General features: G+C 47.9%; 1 protein-coding gene across 53 annotated transcripts in view; it reads right to left on the bottom strand.

Annotated features, from left to right (window-relative positions):
- KCNMA1 (potassium calcium-activated channel subfamily M alpha 1) overlaps positions 1 to 22,752 on the bottom strand; it is a 768,207-nt gene that overhangs the window by 726,918 nt on the left and 18,537 nt on the right. The gene's annotated exons all lie outside the window — the stretch shown is intronic.

A 22,752-nucleotide genomic window follows, 5' to 3' on the forward strand; every position in this document is an offset into this window, starting at 1 on the left:
GGAGATTGGGGGTTGGGGGAACTGGCAATCAAGCGCATACCCACAGAGGTTGTACCAGGATTTACATGCGCACAAGAAGGGATGCTATGGGGAAGCATTATCCTTAAGATGCTACGGGAGCACAATCCAATGTTCGACAAGGTGTGAATCTGTTTCCATGCAGTTCCTTGGTGTTGTGCTTATTTTAAACATATGGAAAATTAGCCATAATGCAAATAACACAGCAACAGCTGTGTTTTCATCTTCTTGGCTATTTTGACGTCACAGCCATCAAATACAAGCTCCAAAAAAGAGCGAATGATATTGTTCCCAGCAGCACATGCCAAAAGGCCACACACCTTCCCACGGGATGAAGGATTCCAGGGACATCTCTTTTTATAGGTGTGACTTCCCCTCTTTGCAGAGTAGCTATTTAGCAACTAGAGGGCAAAGCCAGGCAACTGAGACTTAGGAACAGAATTATATCAGAGAAATTGGCGACAACCTTTCTGGAGCGAAATCTAACAGTGTCTATTAATATTCTATATAGACATACACCTTTTGACTTAGGAATTCCGCTCTCTCAACACCAGCATGAAAGGCAACATATATGAGATGTAGTGGAGAAAGAAACCATACCCTGACAACAACCTGAAAGTCCATCAAAAGAGAATGATTGAAAAAATTATGGTACCTCTATACCGTGAAAATTCTGTAATTATATTTTAAAATGAGATCTATATCTACAGGAAGATATAGATCTCATCTCTCCTGCCTCAGGAGAGATGTTCAGGATGAAAAACGTAGTTATCAACAATGTATTGTATATTTCTAATGCATATTTCAAAGTAGCTAGAAGAGAAAGAATTTCAGATGTCCCCAACACATAGAAATGATAAATACTCAAGGTGATGGATACCCCAAATTCCCTGACTTGATCATTATACATTCCACACATGTAACAAATATCACACATACCCCATAAATAGGTAAAATATTATGTATCAATAAATAATAATAAATTGAAATTTAAAAAGAAAAGCAAGAGGCAGGGGACAAGAATGTAATAAGATCCCATTTTCATTAAACAACTGAAAAGCCATATACAAGGCTCACAAGGCCCTACCCAATCTGCCCTCCTCCAATTCCTTCCCCTCCTTCTGTGACTTCATTTCCTGCCTTTATTCCTGTCACATGCTCTGCTCTGTCCCATTGACAGGACACATTTCTAGGTACATCCTGCCCCAGGGCCTTTGCACTTACCCTTGGCCTCAGTGCTCCTTCCCCAGAAAGCCATATGGCTTTCTCCCAAGTTCCTTTTGGTCTCTGTGCAAAACTGACCTTCTCAGTGAATTCTACCCTGATCCCTCCTTTAAAATTACAAAACAGGGAGGAACTTTATCCTGTTTTATTTTTCTCCATAGCACTTATCATTGGCTGCATTCACTTCTCTGTAAGATATTTTTGTTTTGTTTTGTTTTCATTTTTATTGAGACTGAGTCTCACTTTGCCACCCAGGCTGGAGTGCAGTGGCGCGATCTCGGTTCACTGCAACCTCCGCCTCCCAGGTTCAAGTGATTCTCCTGCCTCAGCCTCCCCAGTAGCTGGATTACAGGTGTGTGCCACCACACCTGGCTAATTTTTGTATTTTTAGTAGAGACAGGGTTTCACCATGTTGGCCAGGCTGGTCTTGAATTCATGACCTCAAGTGATCCGCCCACCTTGGCCTCCCAAAGTGCTGGGATTACAGGCATGAGCCACTGCACCCGGCCCACTGTAAAATATTTTAATCCCCTGGACTGTCAGCTCCAAGAGGGCAAGGGTTTTTCCCTGTCTTGTTCCCTGTGGCATCCCCAGCACCTAGCACACAGTAAATATCCAGCAAATTTTTGCTGAATGAATGGAAAACCTGTTTGCCTATCTTGACCCGGGCCTGGGGAAATAAGTGGAAGGGTCCACCCTAGGCCCTAAGCACTTGGCCAGGAAAGCTGCAGGAGAGGAGTGCATGGCATCCGAGAGCCATCAAACAGTAAATAAGAAAGACTTTCTTTTTCTCCATATTATGATTCCACCAGTTGCTGTGAACATATGCTATTTTTATAACTTTTGAACACACATTAAATAAAACAAAAAAGCAAAGATGTAAGTCAGACTCAGAGGAGCAGTGTGGAGGGGAGGGGAGACAACGCAAAGAGAGAGGGACCCAGGCCACGCCAAACAACCGCCTGGCTCTCTCCTCCCTCAGAAGAACCCATCCCTGCCCCGCATCCAGTGCAGCAAGCGTCCTGGGAAGGTCAGGCTGTGGCTCATGAAAGACACTACAGAGTAGATGCTAACCCAAATCCGAACACTCCCAGACTCTCCCTCCCACCCAGCTCAGCTGGTACTAGAGGCAGACAACGAAAAGCTGGCAGAACAAGACAAATGGTGGAGAAAGTAAGGTCTGAAGAAGGTGGGGTGGGTAGAAAGCAGCAAAAAGGAATGAGGGTTGGTCCAGGGGGCCAGGCCCCAGCTCAGCCTCCTAGTCACTGAGTCAGCTTGGGCAAGGGTGCTCTAACCTCTGAGCCTCTGGTTCTTCCTCCCTAAAAGTCAAAATAAAGGTATCTGCCTTGCCCCAGTGGGCTGGATGTATACGATACTGCTTTATCATGCTGTACAAATATCATTAGAAAGAGAATCAGCAGCGTGGATGCCTCACTGGATAATGCAAAACCCCGCCCCACACGGAGCCTTGGTTTCCTCTATTGTGTTTTCCAATTATTTGCTGTTGGTCTATCAAAAATGCATTTAATATGCATTTTAATATCTGACCTTTGGCCACCTGGCTCAACTCTGTTGCTTCTAATAATTTATACATTCGGAGTCTACGATTTCCTCCAGCCAGATGATGGCTGCACCAGAAAATAATGATGCCTTCATCTCTTCCTTTCCAAGACTTATGTCTCTATTGGTTTTCTCTTGTGGTATTGCGCTGGCTCTGACCTAGGGTGCAAGGTTGAATAAGAGAGGTGATAGTGGGCGTTCTTGTCTTCTTTTTAACCTGAAGGGATTGCATCTCATGTCTATCTATCAGGAATAAGGTTTGCTAGAGATTTCAGTAGCTATCTGTCTTCAGATTAAGTAAGTTCCCACTGCGCAGAGTTGACGATGTGTGATCATGAAGCACCTACTGGATCATATTGAATGTCATTTCAGCAATTAGAGAGATCATTACATGATTGTTCTCCTTTGTTTTAATAGAGGTCTGCAAAACAAGGGGATGCCTCTACCCAATACTGCCTTTCAGGGTCAGGAGGAACAAGGCCTGGGACCCGGAAGATAATGACACCACTCCCACCTCAGCCGCCAGCCTGAGCCCCTGATGGTCCGTCCTCCTGTGTGCCACCCCTCCTCTCCTCAACTCTGTAGCTCTCTGGGCCAATCTCCTTCACCTCCATCCTGAACTCTCACTAGTCCTTAAAATGCCACAGACTTGTCCCTGTGTGAAGTCACAAGAGAAAGCTCACTGCCAACCATCTCCATGTCACAAGAAGTCACCCTGAGCATACGCTGTGGGAAGCAGGCTGATCGCATCATTTTTTCAGGATGAGCAGTTCAGGATTCTGATGCAAAGACTCCACATCCACCTTGGCACATGCTAAGATTCACATGAAGCTATTCCAAAATGGAACAACATACCTAGGAGGCAGTGAGCTCCCTGCTACCAAAGATGAGAATGTCCCCATGACATTTGCTACAGAGGTATTTCTACAAAAGATGAAGAGTGACCCAGAGTCATCTGTAAAATGAAGGTAATCAGACCTATCAAAAGGTAATGGAGGAGGAGGAGGTGGCAGCCTAGTGGGGAGAGCAGGAGGTGGGATGGACTGACATTCCAAGCACCTGACATACACCTCGTCACTTAGTCCTCACAGCAGCCCCTGTGGCTATCAGGACACAGAGAAGTTGCTACAAAACACACACACAGAGGCCGGGCACAGTGGCTTATGCCTATAATTCCAGAACTTTGGGATGCCAAGGCAGGTGGATCACCTGAGGTCGGCAGTTTGAGACCAGCCTGACCAACATGGAGAAACCCCATCTCTACTAAAAATACAAAATTAGCCGGGCTTGGTGGCACATGCCTGTAATCCCAGCTACTCAGGAGGCTGAGGCAGGAGAATCGCTTGAACCCAGGAGGAGAGGTTGCGGTGAGCTGAGGTCACGCCATTGCACTGCAGCCTGGGTGACAGAGCGAAACTCCATCTCAAACACACACACACACACACATGCACACACACATATGCGCACATGCACACACACACATACACAGACACACCTTGTTCAAGGTCACATAGTCAGTAGGTGACAGCGCCCAGGCATGCACCAAGGGCTTCTGTTCCAGTCCTTAAGCTCACTCCACTCCACCACTCCCCCTCCCAGGCTCCAGGGTATGCTTGTCAAACTGCCTAACACAGTGACAGCCACATAATGGGCACTTAATGATTCTCCCCAGATTCAGATGGTCAGACATCCCTCCCACTGAGCAAAGTCAATTTTCTCATCTGCGAAGCAAAAGAGAGACTTCATCTTGGCCCTTCACAGGCAGGAAGGTCTGACTGCCTGGCTTTTACGGTCAGCCCTTGCCACCTTTGCAAAATGTATTCAGAAACATGATCTCCTTTGAGCTTCACACCTCTAAGAGGCAGGGTCTCGGCAGAGAAGGTCACTGGGGCTCACGTGGGGAAGGTTCTGCCTGAGGTCCCATGCTGAACTAGCACACTCACATCCAGGGACATCAGCCACCTTTACTATCTCCACCCCAAAGCCTCATGAGTGAAAAGGACGGACGATCTCTAAGATGTCATGAAAACACGGAGATACAATTGAACCTATCTTCAAACCCAAATGTGTGCCATTGACTAATGTGTGATGTCCACTCTCTAAATGGTGAAGTGAAGAAGCAGTCAGCATAAGATTCCGCCAATCAAGCACAAATAACACCATCGCCTTAGACTCGGACCATGTGATGACCTTTATACCCGTGGATTACATATTGACTCTCCTTTCATAATCTAGGCACCAAAATATCTGCTGGCAGCTTATTCCCATCAGCTGCAGGACAAAGTAGCTTCTGCATTTGGTTCCAAGACAGGAGTCAGCAAGACACTGGAGGCCACAGTCCAATCCCAATGGTCTGTTTATTGTCTGAGGTCATTACCATGGTGTCTCCTCTCCCCGGGCCCTGGTAAGCACCAAGGCCACTTTATTTGTCAGTGACTCAACCAGGAACCACATGGACTTCAAGGCAACCTCCTGGCCCTCAAGGACACAGAGTAGCTAAGCCAAGGATACAGCAAATTTTTTGGACCAAGAGCCAAAGCAGGTGGCGCAGACTCTGCTAATGATCAGATCCAGGCAGTACAGAGTTCTGAGCAAGGGATATAGCAGGAGTCCAGCTCCAGCTCCCTTGATTTCGAGAAGAGCCACACCACCTAAGAAACTCACCTTGCTCCTCATCAAAACTGCCCTATTCTAAATGGCACTGAGAATGAGACTGTCCTTTATACTTTTCACCATCCCAGTTGGTGGGAGGGGTCTTTTGAATGTATTCCCACTTGTGAGGGACACAAAACTCACCAATGCCTGACAGCAAAATCTGGGGGCAGGCTTCCCAGGTCTCCCATGTCTGCCCTGGCACTGAAGCCTGGTTTGGGGGAGACGGGGATGCGCTTGTGATAATGCCAACTCTTCAGGTTCTGAGCACTCTCATGTCTGTCATAGAATAGGATAGGGGTTCACTATTGTAGCATGACACGGGCTCAGAAAGGCCACCTATTGTATGAGCACATTTAGATGGAATGGCCACAAGGGGCAAATCCGTACAGACAGACAGCAGTTCAGTAGCGTCTGAGGCTGGGGAAGGAGGGGTGTGGGGAGTGACTGCTCATGGGTATGGGGTTTGTTTCTTTTAGGTTGATGAAAATGTTCTGGAATTAAATAATAGCAATGATTGCACAACTCTCTGTATATACTAAAAACCACTGCAAATGAGTAAATTTTATAGCATGTGAGTGATACCTCAATAAAGCTCGGTTTTTAAAATTTGATGGTGTAGAAGAATATGGAGGTAGCACACTAGGAGGTGCTTCCCTGCCCCACAAGCTGTCTGTCATTTGTCACCTGGGCACTGGGCACATATCAGTCCTACCTAGCAGCCCTTGCAATCCTACCATAGGAGACCAGCACCCCACACGGGCATTTGTTCAGCCCTCCAGCAGCCCCTCCTGCCAGCCAACCACCCTCATCCCTCCCGTGGATTTCGGGGTTCTGAGTAACCAAAGCAAGCATGGGAACATTCTCAGAGCATGTCCAGGGGACACCTCCGGGAATATGCATTCATCTCAGAGGGGAGCTGAGTGCTTATTTGACAAGCACAATGTAACCAAGCCAAGAATGGGGAAGGGTATGAAACAAGAGAGGCGGCCCTCTTCCTTCTCAGGGAAGCCGGGGCTGGCAGGAAGTGGGGCTGCAAGTCCAACAGCTGACACCATCGTCTATGTTCCTCTGAGCTGTGTGCAAGGAAGAGTACAGTCTGGGGCTGCAGGCATGACAGACTTCAGAGGGAAACAAATCAGGCATAAAAACTGCTAGAGGTTCCATTAGCAAGACAGAGCAAAAAATAGGATTCCCACATCCCCCCTGGTGCCCTCAGGGCTCCTTGTACCACTAAAAATAAAGCAACAGGCAATGGTGTTTTTAATGCCAGCGTTCGCAGGACTTCCTGCAGAGTCAGGCTTGCACAGCTTCCTTCGGTCCCCCCCACCCATCTCCACCCCCTCAGCCATGGATTTCTGCAGCACCAGGGGCCAGCAAGGAGCCCAGGACTGAATGAGATGCGTCCATGGATCATGAGGCTGAGATAGATTTCCCTCTGTTGTCCCACTTCAAGGATGCAGTCTGGAGCTTGCAATCCAAACAGGGAGACAGGTTCTGTGTCCCTTCAGGAGAACAGGGTCTGAGCATTTGTGTCATAAGCAGGGAAGGAGAGGGACCTCAGATCCAGTCCATGATTGGACACACCTCCCTCTAACCTCTGGCATCCTGGCAGGCATCTGGGAGGAGGAGTTAGAAGAGGAAACAGCTGGGGCCGTAAGTCAGGCGAGTTCACACCCAACCACCTGCCCCATTACACAGCAGAAAGCACCTCCCTTACTCCTTCCACAGCCCACACCCCACAACCCAGCCCCCAGGGCTGCCCAGTACTAGCTCTTGACAGAGGACTCTAGTCTCTCAGATCAAGAACAGCCCTCAGAAAGGCAATATGGCTCTCAGTGATTCTAAGTGCAGACACTGGCATTGGGCTGCCTGATTCAAATCCTGCCTCTGCCACTTGCTACATGTGTGGCCTTAGACAAGTTACTTAACCTCAGTTCCCCTACCTGCAACATGAGGTTAATGACATTTCCTGCCTCCAGGACTAATGTGAATTGCTCACAACGGTGCCTGACACATAAAGGTGTGTGATAAAGGCCAGATATTACTGGGGACCAACTAACACTATCTTTCCTAGGGAGCCACTGGCATCTGAGGCTGGCAGCCTTCTCTTGATTCTCCAGGTTGCCCTGTGTGCAGCAGGATGCCAACTTGTCCTGGCCCCGAGGAAGTGAATGCTAGGAGTTGCTCCTCTAGTCTAGGTGACAATCAAGTCAGTTCAGTGGTAGGGACAGGATTCAAACCAAGCTTTGTCTGACCCTAAGCCCATGGCTTTCACTACCATTCTACACTAAACTATCACCTGCAAAACCCACAGTGGGCATAAAAAGCCTCTTTTGTCAAGGACAGTGAGGGACATAGTAACAGAAACTGAAAGAGAAGAAAAAAAGAAGTCTCAAGAAAAAACAATCAGCAGGCATGATATTTATTTTAGTTTTTAAAAGTTGTTGGCCAGGCACAGTGGCTCACTTCTATAATCCCAGTACTTTGGGAGGCTGAGGCAGGAGGATCACTTGAGGCCAGCAGTTCAAGACCAGCCTGGGCAACAGAATGAGACCTCATTTCTACCCCCAAAAAATTTACTTAATTAAAAAAAATTAGCTGGGCATGGTGGTGTGCACCTATGTCGCTTGAACTCAGGAGGTGGAGGCTACAGTGAGCTATGATTGCACCACTGCACTCCAGCCTGCACAACAGAGCAAAACCCCATCCCCCGCCCCCCAAAAAAAAGAGTTGCCTAATTCTTCATCTCAGGTCCCTTTTAGAAAAACTTATGTCATATCCCATAAACCAGGCTATCATTCCTTCCTAAAGATTAGTAGACCTAAGTAGGCAACTAGAAAAACAACACATCCGTCTGAGGTCTCAGGCTCACCTGGAAATGCAGGTCCTGGCCTCCCTGCCTCCACCCTCCCCCACCCCTTCCTTGTCAGGCAGCTTGGGCCACCCACCATATGCCGCTGCAGCCCATAAAGACTCTGGAACATTTCAAAGGCCTTGGCCCCCATCAGGTGTGGCTCCAAAAAACACAGGGTCACCTATAAAAGGTTGAGCACAAGGAAACAGCCATAAAACCCGCAGTCCTAACAGCAGACACCCAGTGGCCAGAACAAAGCAGCCAGCTGCCGGGCTTTCCAGGAACCACAGAGGGACATCCCTCCCAAGGACCGCGCCCAGCCGCAGCCCAGGGGCACATGGCTGAAAGGTCCTCAGAGGCCACCTGGTAAGAAGGGCCCTGTGTTGGGTGCTTGCTAGTTGCCAGGGACTGTCCCGGATGCCCTCCTTGAAGAGGGTTAAGGAGGTAACACAGGAAAGAGCTGGCATGGTGCCTGCAGCCCTGAGGGCCTCTAAAAGAGATGCTTCATCTTTCCTGAGCTTCAAAGCACCCGGCAAGTGGGACGTGATTCCCATCTTTTAGGCGGCAAAACTGAGGCCCTGAGGAGTAACACAACTAGGAAGTGAGCTTCAAGCCAAGTCTGTCTGTTCATCTCATGCTTTCTCGTGGGTTCCTGGAGAGGTCAGATGATGGGCTGTCAGTGCTCAAAGGGGCCTGGAGACCTCCCAGCCCTCTGCTGGGTACCCTCCCTACACAGTGCAGCCAGGCTTCCAAGGCAGCCTCCCTCCTCTGCTGGGACAGTCGTCAGGGGTGTTTCAGAAGGAGCAAGCCCCGAGCAGCCTCCCCACACTCTGGCCCAGTTGAGGGAGGTGACAGGGCGCCATCTCCTGCTCCCTTTCTGGAAAGCTTTCCCACATCCCAGGCCAGGCCCTGCAGGCCCTCAGGCTGGCTGATACATGGCAATGACAACAGAAATGGCTCACACTTGGTAGGTGCTTCCTAACTGCCACATCCTTTACACACAACTGCACAAATGCTCTACATCAGGGATGCCCATGTTATAGAAAACTAGGACTTATGGAGGATGTGCAACTTCCCCAAGGTCATGCAGCTATCAGCAGCCGAGCTGGAACTGAATCCATGGTCCTCACCATGCCACGCTACCCTGCTTCTGCCTGAACGCAAGCAGGTGCAGATAAGCCGCAACACCCATGACTATACCCACACACTACCATCTTCCCAGCCGCATGGCAGTGCTGCGGCCTAGACCCATGGCTCAGGCTCTGCCATCCACCCTTGGTGCAGCCCTCCAGCCTCCCAGACACCCCTGCATCAGCCTCTCTCTAGGTAACAGATAATACTGCTGAAATACCAGGCTGGCTTTAAGTTTTGGGTCCCACTGTCCCACTGTCCTAAGTCCCACTCTGACCTGTGGGACTAAAAGGAGGGATGGGACAATCATTGCTGTACAAGCAGCTCCTCCAGAGAAATGCCCAGACCCAGAGCAGCAACCCCTCATGGCCCTCAAAAAGGCATCTTTGGCCAGGCACAGTGGCTCACACCTGTAATCCCAGTGCTTTGGGAGGCCAAGAGGGGACGATCGCTTGAGGCTGGGAGTTCAAGACCCCATCTCTACAAAATAATTAAAAAATTAGCTGGGCACAGTAGTGCGCACCTGTAGTCCTAGCTACTTGGGAGGCTGATGTGGGAGGATCACTTGAGCTCAGGAGTTCAAGGCTGCAGTAAGTTATGACCATGCCACTGCACTCTAGCCTGGGCAACAGAGTGAGACTATCTCTTAAAGAAAAGAAAAAAGGCACCCCTTCCTAGAGTCCAGAAAGACGTCTGTATCTGGCAGTGCCCGTCTTCCTAAGTCCTTTCTGAGGGTCCTGAGCTGAGGGGAGCCAAGGATGCAGCTTCACTCCATCACTGGGTGGTCTCCTCTGGGAACTTGGAGTATTCCCTTCCTGCAGCAGGAAGAGCCACCAAGAGTTTATCGTGTTCAGTCCTTTTAGTCACCTAATGCCCACAGGCACCTTGACACCATACAAAGAACCCCTCTGGGGAAGCCAACAACCCCAAAACCCGTGCAACCCTTGCACCCTCTGCAGCCAGCCCTTGGTAGTGGCCTTACTGTACTCTCCCTCTCCATGACTCAGTTTGCCTCCAATAAGCCCTGGGGCCTCAAGTTCAGACTCACCCAACTAGACAGACCAGAAGTGAGCCTCTGCCCTGACATCTTCAGGCACTCTTTTGTCAACTACTCACAAGGATTTATCAGATAGGAAGGGAAAAGGACAGAAAGAACTGTGGGATAAGGAAGGCTCTGAATGTCAGAAAAGGGTCTGAGTAGGATGATTTGAGACTGAAGAAGCTACGTGGTATCACTTAGGAGCAATAAAGGAAAGATTAGGGCAGGTGAGGAGGATAATGGACAGTGGAGCCTGGCCAGTGCCAGCTGACGGACTAGACCGATCTTCCTACCTCTGCTTGCAAAAGGCATTGCTTCCTGCTTAGCATGCCTCACTGATTCCCATAAAAATGGCATTCATCTATATGCTGAGGTGGGCTGAATCATGGCCCTAGAAGATGTCCACGTCCTCATCCCTGGAATCTGTGACTGCGACCTTAACTGGCACAAGGGACTCTACAGACATAATTTAATTAAGGACCTTGAGATGAAGAGATTAGCCTGGATCATCCAGGTGGGCCCTAAATGCAATCACAAAGGTCCTTCAAAGAGGGAGGTAGAGGGAGATTTGACACAGAAGAGAAAGTAAGAGATGTGATGATGGAAACTGAGATGGAGCAATGTGCTTTGGATACGGAGCAGAAAGCCACAAGACTGGGGATGCAGGTGGCTACTGGAAGCTGCAAAAGGCAAGAAAAACGACTTGCCCCTCAGAGCCTCCAGAAGGAACCAGCCCTGCAGACGCTTTGACTTTAAAAGCCCAGGGAAACTGATTTCCGACTTCTCGCCTTCAGAACTGTAGGAGTATATTTGTGTTATCTTAAGGCACTATGTTTGTGGTCGTTACAGCAGCAAGGGAAAACTGACACCCACACTCAGCCACTCGAGAGGTCCCTTCTCCTGCTCAACACTGCTAGCCATTAGGGGTTAAGTAATTCACAAAAGAGACCCATCCCTGCCTTCCCGTAACATATTGTCATCCTCTTTCCTCCATCCTCTTTCCTAGGGTCCCTGTGGCCTGGACTATGCTGCTTTCTGCCTAAGTCCTCCCCGTCCTTCCAGCTCTCATTCCTTCCATGAAGCTTTGTTCCAGCCTCAGAGTCTTCAAAGACACCATTCCTCTGCACGTCCCCCTGCACCCACCCCTGGCTAATGCCTCTTCATCCTGTAGATCTCATTTCTTTTTTTTGGAGACAGGGTCTCACTCTGTTGCCCAGGTAGGAGTGCAATGATACAATCTTGGTTCACTGCAACCTCCACCTCCCAGGCTCAAGCAATCATCCCATCTCAGCCTCAAGAGTAGCTGGGACTACGGGGATGTGCCACCACGCCTGGCTAATTTTTTGTATTTTTCGTAGAGATGGAGTTTTGCCATGTTGCCCAGGCTGGTCTCAAACTCCTGGGCTCAAGCGATCCACCCGCCTTGACCTCTGAAAGTGCTGGGGTTACAGTCATGAGTCACCATGCCGGGCCTGTAGGTCTCATTTCTGCAGGGAAGCCTTCCCTGAGCCCCGGCCAAGGAGAGGATGCACCCCCACACACACACGCATTATAGTCCATAGTCTCTCATCACACTCCAGGCTGAAGTGTGCATATACGTGTGTAAGAGGGGATTATCTGTTCAATCTAGTCACTGATGATGGAATTGCTCAGACCTCTGAGGGCAGGGACCTTGGTTGTCCTGTTCACCAGTGAATCAACTCTCAGCCTGTTATAGACACTTGCATTGATCTCCCTCTGCCCAGAACTGCTTTATTTAACATCTCTATCAAAAAGAACCGTTGCATAGACATTTTTCCAAGGAAGGCATACAAATGGCCCACAGGTATATAAAAAGGTGCTCAACATCACTAATCATCAGGGCTACACAATCAAAGCCACGATGAGTTATAACCTCACACCTGTTAAAATGGCTATAAGCAAAAAAAGAGAGAGAGAGAGAGCAAGTGCTGGTGTGGGTATAAAGAAAAGAGAACCCTGTTACACTGTTGGTGGGACTGTAAATTGATAAAGTCATTATGGAAAACAGTATGGAGGTTCCTCAGAAAAATCAAAAATAGAACTACCATATGATCCAGCAATCTCACTACTGGTTATATATCCAAAGGAAATGAAATCAGTACGTCAAAGAGATGTCTGCATTCCAATGTTCACAGCAGCATTATTCACAATAGCCAAGAAATCGAACCTATCTAAGTGCCCACCAACGGATGATGGATAAAGAAATTGTGGTACATGTACACAGTGGAACACTATTCAGCCTTTAAAAAAGAAGGATATCCTGCCATTTCCAACAACATGGATGAACCTAGAGGACAGTATGTTAAGTGAAATAAGCCAGGGATAGGAAGACAAATACTACGTGATCTAATTTATATGTGGACTCTTAAAAAGTTGAGCTCATAGGAGCAGAAAGCAGAACAGTGGTTACCAGGGGCTGGGATGGGAGAGGAATGCTGGTCAAAGAGTACAAACTTTCAGTTAAACAGGAGGAATAAATTCAAGACATCTATTACTGTACATCATGGTGATAACAATTAATAACAATGTATTGTATTCTTGAAAACTGCTAAGAAAAGAGATTTTCAGTGTTCTCACCACAAAAAATAGGTATATGAGATAATGCATACGATAATTAGCTCAATTCAGCCATTCCACAATGTATACATATTTCAAAACAACATGTTGTATACAATAAACAAGTACAATTTTTATTTATCCAGAGAAAATTTTAATAATAAGTGTTCATTTTAAAAAAAAAAATACAGCCAATTGGCACTCTCAGGCCTGCGTCAGGAACAAGAGGAAGTCAGGGCTCAAGTTTCAAAAACACAGACTGAAAATAAAGCCCCAAACATACTCAAGGATGGAACTCCCCACAGCCTGTCAGCAGTGGACAAAACCTTCCATAGCAGAAGCTGCAAGTAAAAGATGTCTGTGTGGGAGGAACCATTTAGAAAAAGCAGTAACAAGGCGATGAAAACAGAAACAAGGCGGCCAGTCACCCACCATCCCCAATTCGCCCAAAGGCCAGGTCACCCTGTTCCCACCCTGCACCAGCTGCTCCTCTGCCTGCGGCTTTCTGGCCCAAATCCTGTGTGGCCCTCACTTTCTCCTCAGTCCTGCCTCTGCCATATGACCATCTCCTCCTCAAAAGAGGCTTCTCTGGCTACCCACCAAAGCAGCCCCTCTAACACACACAATCCCATCCCCTGTTCAGTGGTCTCATGGTGCCACTGTAAATTATCTCATTCATTGATTTACTGAAGTGTTGATTATCTGCACCCCCCACCACACACACTGAAACCCAACCCAGCCCTTTCTGTTGCAGTTTCCCAGGGCTTCAGACAGTCCTTGGCACATAGAGGGTGCCGGAGAATCCAGAATGACCCTCACTGTGCATATCCATAGCTGCCCTCACTGAGCCGCAGCCTCGGGCTGCCCCAAAAGGTAAGCGGAGTACAAGGGTGGAGGCTCTCTCTCTCTCTAGCACAGAATCTCTTTCTTCCAGAGTCGGCCAGCGGTGCTGTCTCTTTTCTGCTGGGAAAGATAGGAATGGAGATTCCTTGAGGTCAGACACAGTAGATCCTAGTCAGAAACTCCCATTGGCTAAGTGAGAGAAGCCAGACACAAAAGGCCACATATTGTGTGATTCCACTTATATGAAGTGTCCAGATCAGGCACATCCAGAGAGCCCACACAGAGTAGACCAGCCAGGGACTGGGAGCAGAGGGAATAGGGAGTGACTGCTTAATGGTACAGGACTTCCTTTTGGAGTGATGAAAATGTAGATAATAATGATGGTTACACAACTTTGCGAATAAGCTAAAAAACTACCGAACTGTATGTACACTTTAAAAGAAGGAATTTTATCTCAATTAAAAAAACAAAAAAGCACTTATTGAAAAATGCCATGGAGTGGTTAGCAGAGCAAAGCTCTGGAGTCCAACTGTCCAGGCTCAATTCCTGGCTTAAGCCATGAGCTATGTGAACTGAGCCAAATTACTTGGCCTCTCTGTGCCTCTGCTTCCTTGTCTGTAAATGGGGGTGATAATCATGCCAATTTCACAGGGATGCTATGAGGATTAAATGCAACCACCCATGTGTAGGGGACTTTGGCTAACTCCTTTCCAAACTTCCACCTTCCCCATTCCTTGCAGACCTTGTTTTCCATTTGAGATCCATAAGGTTCTGAGGATACTGACAATAATCCCTGGCTTCAGCCAGTTCAGTTACAGCAACTCTCAGAACCTGTGCTAGGAATGCTGGTGCAAAGGTGATTTATTTCCTGACAAGGTTGAGCAGATCAGCATGTGCCCTCCAGAGCTGCAGCAGCCATGTGTGAACCCAGAGGCAAACCAGCCTCAGGACAAGGCCAACTGTAAGGAGAGCAGATTAGAGTGACAGAAAGAAACTGGGTCCATGGAGACATCGTTGAGCCACCGGATCAAGGCTCATCTGAAGTCATCCACCTTTCCAACTATATGAGTCAATGGAGTCCCTTTAATGTTAAGCCCATTGAAGTGAGCATTTCTGCTACATGCAATCAAAAGCTTATCACTGATTCAGCTACGTAAAGTCCCTCATACCCAGCCCGGCACATAGCGAGTTCTCCATTAAGTGTGACTTATTATCATTTTTTTTTCCAAGCTTCTCTGCTGTTCCCCAAGGCCAGTGTTCACCCAGATGTCTAGATACAGAAACTGTTCTACTGGTTTATCTAGATCCAATCCTATGTCCCTGTAATGGCAAGCCACAGACAACTTTACCAAAAACCCTTGCTGTGTGCAAAATCAGTGCACACAGCAAGCATTCATGGGGCGAGGTACTGTGTGCTCAGACAAGACTAGGTACGCAGGGGACAGCACATCAGGGAAGGACAAGGCACTCTGATCATAAGTCCAAAGAGGAGTTCATAATCTAATCAGCAAGGCAAGATCAAGGTCCACAAAACAGTAAAGTATATATTTGACTAGTGACATGATTTAAGAAATGCAACAGTGCAAGCTAAAGGAGTCCAGAGAAGAAAGAGATGGGAATCCTGGTGGCATTCTGGTTTCTCCTGGCTCCCAATGCTCCCAACACATGGACCTAACCAGATCCAAAAACATCCTCCCAAGAACATATGGAGGCCACAGGACATCAGAGCCCAGCACCAGACCTTGCTCCTGCAAATCCCAAAGATAATGTGCACATTTCACGGACATGGCCAAAGACCCAGGCACATTCTAGGTCATGGTCACGAAACTGGCTGAACTAGTCAAGAAGTCCTATCATCTTTTCTTCTCCCAATTTATTTTCTTTTTCCCTCTTTTTCTCCCAATGCAGTAAAAATGTGATGCATGAAACAATTATTCTTCAGAACTCAGGGGCAGGTGGGGAGCCTCAAATCTGGAGAAAGCAAAATGTAAATGATGCAAAAAGAGATCAAGATCCATGAATATTCATCTTCCTCTCCCTTCTGGTGGAAACTAGATTTGGAGGGGTTCATTGCGCTCCATTTCCTCTGAATTCCTAGGAGCGCTTGTGGTCGGCATCTCCTCATTCTGCCTGAAGACCACATGCAACTCATAGGGCTCTTGCCTCCAAGAACAGGCGGCTGCACAGGCGCATACATTGTACCAACCTGTACACCTTATGTCTGTGCATGCCCTACATGTATGTTAGACTTCAATTTTAAAAAATGAAAGTCAAAAGACTGGTCAATTCCTTCTGGTCCTCAAGGCATATTTCCAATGTGGGGGTACCTTCCTCTCTTCACTTCACGGTGGAGGATGATTCTCTACTCTACCTCCTCACCTCCCTGACACACCTCCTTGCCCCAAAACAAAACAGTGAAAATGAACAATCCCCTCTAAGCCATTTGCTTATGGAAGACAAAGCTGGAGCTGACTCCTTTCTGGATTCTCTCTCCCTACTCCCCCCACCCCCACTGAGCACAGGCATGCAATAGATGCTCAATAACTGTTTATTTTGGGAATAAATTACAAATGGTATGGAACTATCTCACACACAATAAGTCTGTAAGTTCCTGGATGTCTGAGCTTGTCTTCTACCTCTTGGGATGCCTGTGTGGCCCTCCCCAAAACCCCACCACCAGGTGATTTCTTAACCTCTATGAGTCTCAGCTCCTGAACCACACTTGTCCTTCAGGATCACTGTGAGAATTTTACCAGCTAAGATGTAAAGTGGCCAGCTCAGAATGTGATATATTGTAAGCCCTCAATAAATAGTAGCTCCCTGGACCCAACCTTCCCCCACAACCTTCCCCAGTTGCAGCACAGAGTTTAAAACCTCCCAGGAGCCCCATAAACTGTGGCCGACCAGGACTGACCAGCTTCAGCTCTGGGTGCTCTGTGCCTCTCTCCAATACACACAGTGCTTCATTAAAGAACTCAAAGCTTATCTGGCCCAAAAGCAATGCTTTTATCTAAAATCAGACCACATGGGCAACAAGTGAAGCAGGAAGCCTATCAAGGCATTTGGGCCAACTGGTTTTGGCTGCCAAGGGAGCCCTCCTTATAGGAGGCGGTTCAGACCGCAGGCCGGCTCACATACAACACTGGTGTACACGGAGGGGTTAATTAGCAGTAAACAGATGCCATGATTCACCTCTGTGCTGTTATTTCCCCGTGTGCAGCTAAAACTATAATCACTCTGTTCTCCGACAGGATGTTTGCGTTCAAGCCAAAACTGCCTCCTCTATCCAACTTGCTGCAGTTCGGTTCAGCACAGGGCAATGAGGAACTTGGCTCCTCTCACGATAGCTGGTGGCTGGCCTGACAGAGGCCCCTTCAGACAGGGAAGGAAAGAGGAGATGGATGGGGTAGAGAAGAAAAAAATGAATTTGTCATTTTATCAAACACAGGTGAAGGCTGTCTGCTGGTGGGAACTGCTCCTCAACACTTAACACCCACAGAGCTCACAAAATACCCTTTCTTCTGAGGCAGTCAGGCATGAGAGGCTTCAGGAGCCCTGTGACAAGTCATTGGCAAGAAGGAGCTGGGGCAAATTTGCAGGCCAATGCCTGGGTCACACCCTCCCTACCACTGCCCAGGCCTGGGTGGGTGTCTAGTCTACTTGGAGCCTGGGACCTGGTAAAGGTGGCCTGAAAGGCTCAACCTCAGCTTCCAGAAAAAATTAAATACCCTGAGAGAGCCAGAAAACAAAGAGATTCAGTGCCCAAAATATAAATGTAACCAGTGTGGAGTATTAGTCAATTCATCAGCAAGAGGTTACTGAATGCTCGTTTGTTCATTCATTCGCCCACCATCTACCAAATGCCCACCAGAGACATGCCACGTGTTTGGTGCTGGGAATACAGAAAGAAATGAAGAAGATGTATGTCCTGTCTCAGTGGCCCACAGACCAGAGTGTGCCAAATCCTGAAGGATCCAGTTAGGAGCTTACAATCTAGCTGGAAAGCTAAAGAAGGGAAGCATGCGGAATTCTCCGGGGCTCATCGCCATCCCTCACCTAACCAGTGCTTTGTGTAAGATAGACTCAAAGGTGAGCTTGAATAAACTGACTTCTGCTAAATGCCATTATTCTACCTGGATACATCACAAAAATGGGAGCCATTACCTACTGAGTATTTTTCATGTGCTAGGTGGAACTTTCTCTGTGGTCTTCACCCTACATGTAATGGAAACTGAGGCATGAGGAGGGTAGACAACTTGCCCAAGACCACACAGGGGAGGCAAGAGAGGAACCCAGGTCCTTGCACCCCAACCCCATGCCCTTTCCACCTCACTGCATGAGCAGAGGAAGGAGCCCCCTTGTCCATCCCTCACCCAGCCCCAGCTCAGCTTGGGCTCCCCCAAGCAAGCACCACATGACTGACACTCTTGGAATCCTCTTCATAACCTGGCCCAGGTATGGGACAAGTTGCCAATGAGCAACATATTTGCTTAACCAAATGCCTGTGGCAGAATAAGCTTGAGATAAAAGGGAGTGTGAAGTGGAAAGAAGACCCGGAAGTCTTCATGAAGGAACTTGGTGTACAGAAAGATGTTTTGGGTGCCTCAGAACACATAATCCCTGATAGAGAAAAGAGTCTGGAGACAAATACCAGATGTTAAGCAACCTTAACACAGGCGCCTGGGCTGCCTCAGCCTATCAGAGTAGCACAGGTTCCTAAATAGGGGAAAGTGCCAACTAAAAAGCCCACCAGGCAGGAGGGCTGGGTCTGGAGCCTGGCCTTTCTTCTTTGTTCAGAGCCCAAAAGGTGCCTCTGGTCCATTCACCATTCACCAGGCCCCAGAGCAGCCCCAGGATCACCAGATGGGTCCACCAGGTCCGTCCTGCTCTGGCTACCAGGCTTCTAAGCCTCTTTTCAGACCCTCAGCCTTCTGGGAGAAACCATTCCATGCCCTCCAGCACTTTCCACCCCTTCTGTTCCTTTTGACATCATCTCCAACTGCCTGAGGCTGCAGAAGGTGGGTGGTGTAGGGGCAGAACAGGCAGGAGCACAATCACAATTCTTATAAAAATGCAAGGGACTGCTGGAGCCACCAGGGACCCTCAGAATGGCCTCATCCAATCCTCCGTTTTACAGGTGGCAAACTGAGGCCTCGCCCCTGAGTTAACCCTTTCAATGCCTGACATCTCGTACTGCAAAATTCTTCCTTTCCTCTCTCTCCATTCCCCTCTCCCTCGTCCTTCCTATAGTGGTATAGGGGTGTGCCGTGGGTGATGAGAGGCAGAGGGAAGGGAGCATTTCTCACCCCATTTTCCTCCAACCCTACTTTCTGCCTCCATCTTTAGCACTACCTCACTGTCCGTCTTGGTGCTCACTGTTGGCCCCTGGCTACCCTGCCCCTTCCAGTGGTCTCCTGTCCCTCAGTTCAGCACAATCCTGGTTATATTGACAAAGGAGAGGGATCTAAAATAAAGGCCAACTTCATCATAACAGGGCCATTTATTGAGGACTTACAAGATGCTAAATGCTATTATACTCACAAAACCTTTACGTGGCTGGTATTTTTAGTATTCACAGTTTACCAATGAAGAAAGTGAGCTTTGCAAGGTTAAGTAAATTGGCCACAACCACCAAGCTAATGCAAGGTAGAGCCAGGACTCAAACCCGCCTTTGACCAATTCCAAACTAGGCTAAGAGCCTCACAAGACTGAATTTAAGAGACCAAAATGAACATTCAAAATGTTGCACTGTGGATGCAAAGATGGAAGGCACAGAGTCCTAGGCTTCAGAGATGCTACATTCCAGCAGGGGGTGGACATTCCACAGACGTGCAATCCAACCTGGATGGACTAGAGTGGAGACTTACCAGAAACAGAGTGACCAATGACCTAGGAGGTTATTGTCAATGCCCACATTAGGGGAAAATGTCACAGTCTCCCAAAGATGACCAAATGAAAGTAACAGTAATAACTAACACTTTCCTAGCCCTTGGTTTGTAGCAAGTGCTACCCTCAGCATTTAACACATGATCCTCCCAACAACCCCAGGCAGCAGGAGGATAATGTGGGGTGACATCTCCCAGCATTTGAAAGTCAATTTGAAGACCGGGTGCAGTGGCACATGCCTGTAATCCCAGCACTTTGGGAGGCTGAGGCGGGTGGATCACTTGAGATCAGGAGTTCGAGACCAGCCTGGCCAACATGGTGAAACCCCGTCTCTACTAAAAATACAGAAATTAGCCGGACATGGTGGTGCGCACCTGTAATCCCAGCTACTCGGGAGGCTGAGGCAAGAGAATCACTTGAACCTGATAGGTGGAGGTTGCAGTGAGCCGAGACTGCACCACTGCACTCCAGTCTGGGCACGAGAGTGAAGCTCCATCTCAAAAAAAAAAAAAAGCCAATTTGATACTAGGAACTGTTTGAGGGCGTTTTCAGTATTATTTTATTCCCACTTTCCAAGTGAGTGAACTGAGGCATGCAGAGGTGAAGTGGCTTGCCCAAGATCCAAAGGTCAGCAAGCAACACAACTATGATTTAAGCCTGAGTAGGCTGGCTCCAGAGGGCATGTCCCTGATGACCACACTGAACTATCTAGAATGAGAGACGTTGCTCATTGAGACATTACAATTCTGGTCCATTGGATTTTAGAAAGGCAACCGTATTACTTATGTTACTACTCACGTTTGAGACCCTGTTTTCTCAGCAGTGAACTGTTGAACTTACTTTGCTGAGACATAAAATTGGACATGGGTAGAAGGGGCTACAGTGAAGTGCATTTCCAAGGTGAAGCACATCACCACAGGAGTGAGACAAGAAACCCGGGAAGCAGCCTCTGTCATCCATGAGCCTTCCACTCTCAATGCTCCAGGCAAAGAGCCACGCCAGGTAAGATTCAAAGTGGGAGAGGGCAGACTGGGAGATGATGCATTCAAATCATGAGGGCAGGCTCAGGTAACTACTGTCAATTCACCACCCCTGAATTAGGGCCAACGTAAACCAGTGACAATCTCTTTGAAACATGAAGCAGGGAGGCAGTTATGCCCCTTAGTCCCTTTATCCTGAAGGTGTTTAAGAAGCTGAGTAGCTTTCAAGCTGCAGACAGGGATAAGAAGAGGCAGAGCTGAAGGCACTCCAGAGCAGCATAGGAAGAGGGTAAGAGTTAACAATCTGAAGACAGAAAACCCTGGGTTCTAATGCTGGTACTGCCACTTATTAAGGATGCCTCTTGGGCAAGTGACATCACATAGCCATTGCAAGCCCCAGTTTTTGTACATCTGTAAAATGGGAAAAATACAGATAGTATCTACATCATAGGCTGATTTAGAGGATTGAGATAATGCATATAAAGTGCTTGACACCATGTCTGACACCTAGCAAATACCCAGTAAACATTCAGTTTTCTCATTGGGTCATGATAATGGTTCTGGCAGAGCCAGCTATGGACAGCAGAAGCCCTCAGTGTGGGACTCGGGAGCCCCTTCAGCAGTCCAGGTGTTCTCCAAATCTATTTCAATCTCCTGGGTGCAGTGCTACATTTCCCAGGATCCCTTGCAGTTAAAATACCATGTGATCAAGTTCTGGCCAATGAACTGTGTGGGTAGACGTGATGTGAATGACTTCCATAACTACCCCTACAAAACTACCCCTCATGATCCTTACTTCTCATCCCCTATCATCCGGACAGATGCAGAGGGTCCAGCAGAGACCTTCAGGGGCCCCTAGAAGATTTCAGGTCCACAAGTGAAAGGAGCCGGGGTCTTTAATGACTGTCTGAAGTGTGTCTTCACTGCACCCTCCACACACACCATCAATGGTACTTTGTATGAGCAATACGTAAACTTCTGCTGTATTAAGTCATTGACATGTTGACCTCTTGTTACAGAGGTGGCCTAGCTGACTAATACACAGTTTATCAAACCTCAAGATGGACTCACAGGTCCCTGTTGCCTCAATGATTCCATCGCCACTGCACACACCAGAGTCTAGATACCATAAATATGGTCCAGGAGAGAAACCAGCAGCGTGGTGTGGTAACTGGCAACTGGCCAGGTATGGTAAGCATAAGGTAAAGCCTGCAGCAACTCAAGAAATGCAGAGGGAAGACTACTCGTCTAGAAGAAACAGGATGGCCCAGCAGCAATATTACCTGTGCTCATAGCTACTGGTTCTTCAGGAGAACAGGAAAGAGCATGGTCTCAAAGGCCAAGCATATCAGAGGCCATATCTGCCTGGGATCTACCCAGAAAAGTGACTGAACTGCTCTGGGCTTCAGTTTCCACAACTGCCAATCATGGATAACAATACCCTATGTTCTGTGACATCACACTGGTATCTTCAAACCAGCCAGGGCAGGAATATTTATACCATAGGAATTGACGAACACCGTACATAGGGACTTTCTTCTCTAGAAATCCCGTTGTTAATCACTTACCAGCACATCCCTGGATAAACAGGAGTCAGCTAAGTGGAAGGGGAGAAGGAGGACAAGAAAAGAGAAGTCCGGCAGTGTGAACAGCATGTGTGAAGGCCCAGAGGTAAAAATCAAAAGGTTTAACGAAATGAAGGAAGTCCTAAGTGGCTGGGTGTGGAGAGCTTGGGAAGATGTTAAGAGGAACCTAGAAAGAGGGCAGGAGCTGGACCTTGTGAAAGGACTTCACTAAATAGTAATTATTTGTTCCAGTCATCCATGGCTATGTAACAAATTACCCCAAAATGTAGTGGCTTAAAACAATCATTTCATTTTGTTTATGACTTTTAAGTAAGGAATTCATAGAGGGATCAGCTGGTGGGTTCATCTCCAATCTATGTCAACTGGGGTTGGAGGATCCACTTCCATGATGGCATCTTC

This window comes from Homo sapiens, chromosome 10 (assembly GCF_000001405.40).
Source record: "Homo sapiens chromosome 10, GRCh38.p14 Primary Assembly".
Taxonomy (NCBI): domain Eukaryota; kingdom Metazoa; phylum Chordata; class Mammalia; order Primates; family Hominidae; genus Homo; species Homo sapiens.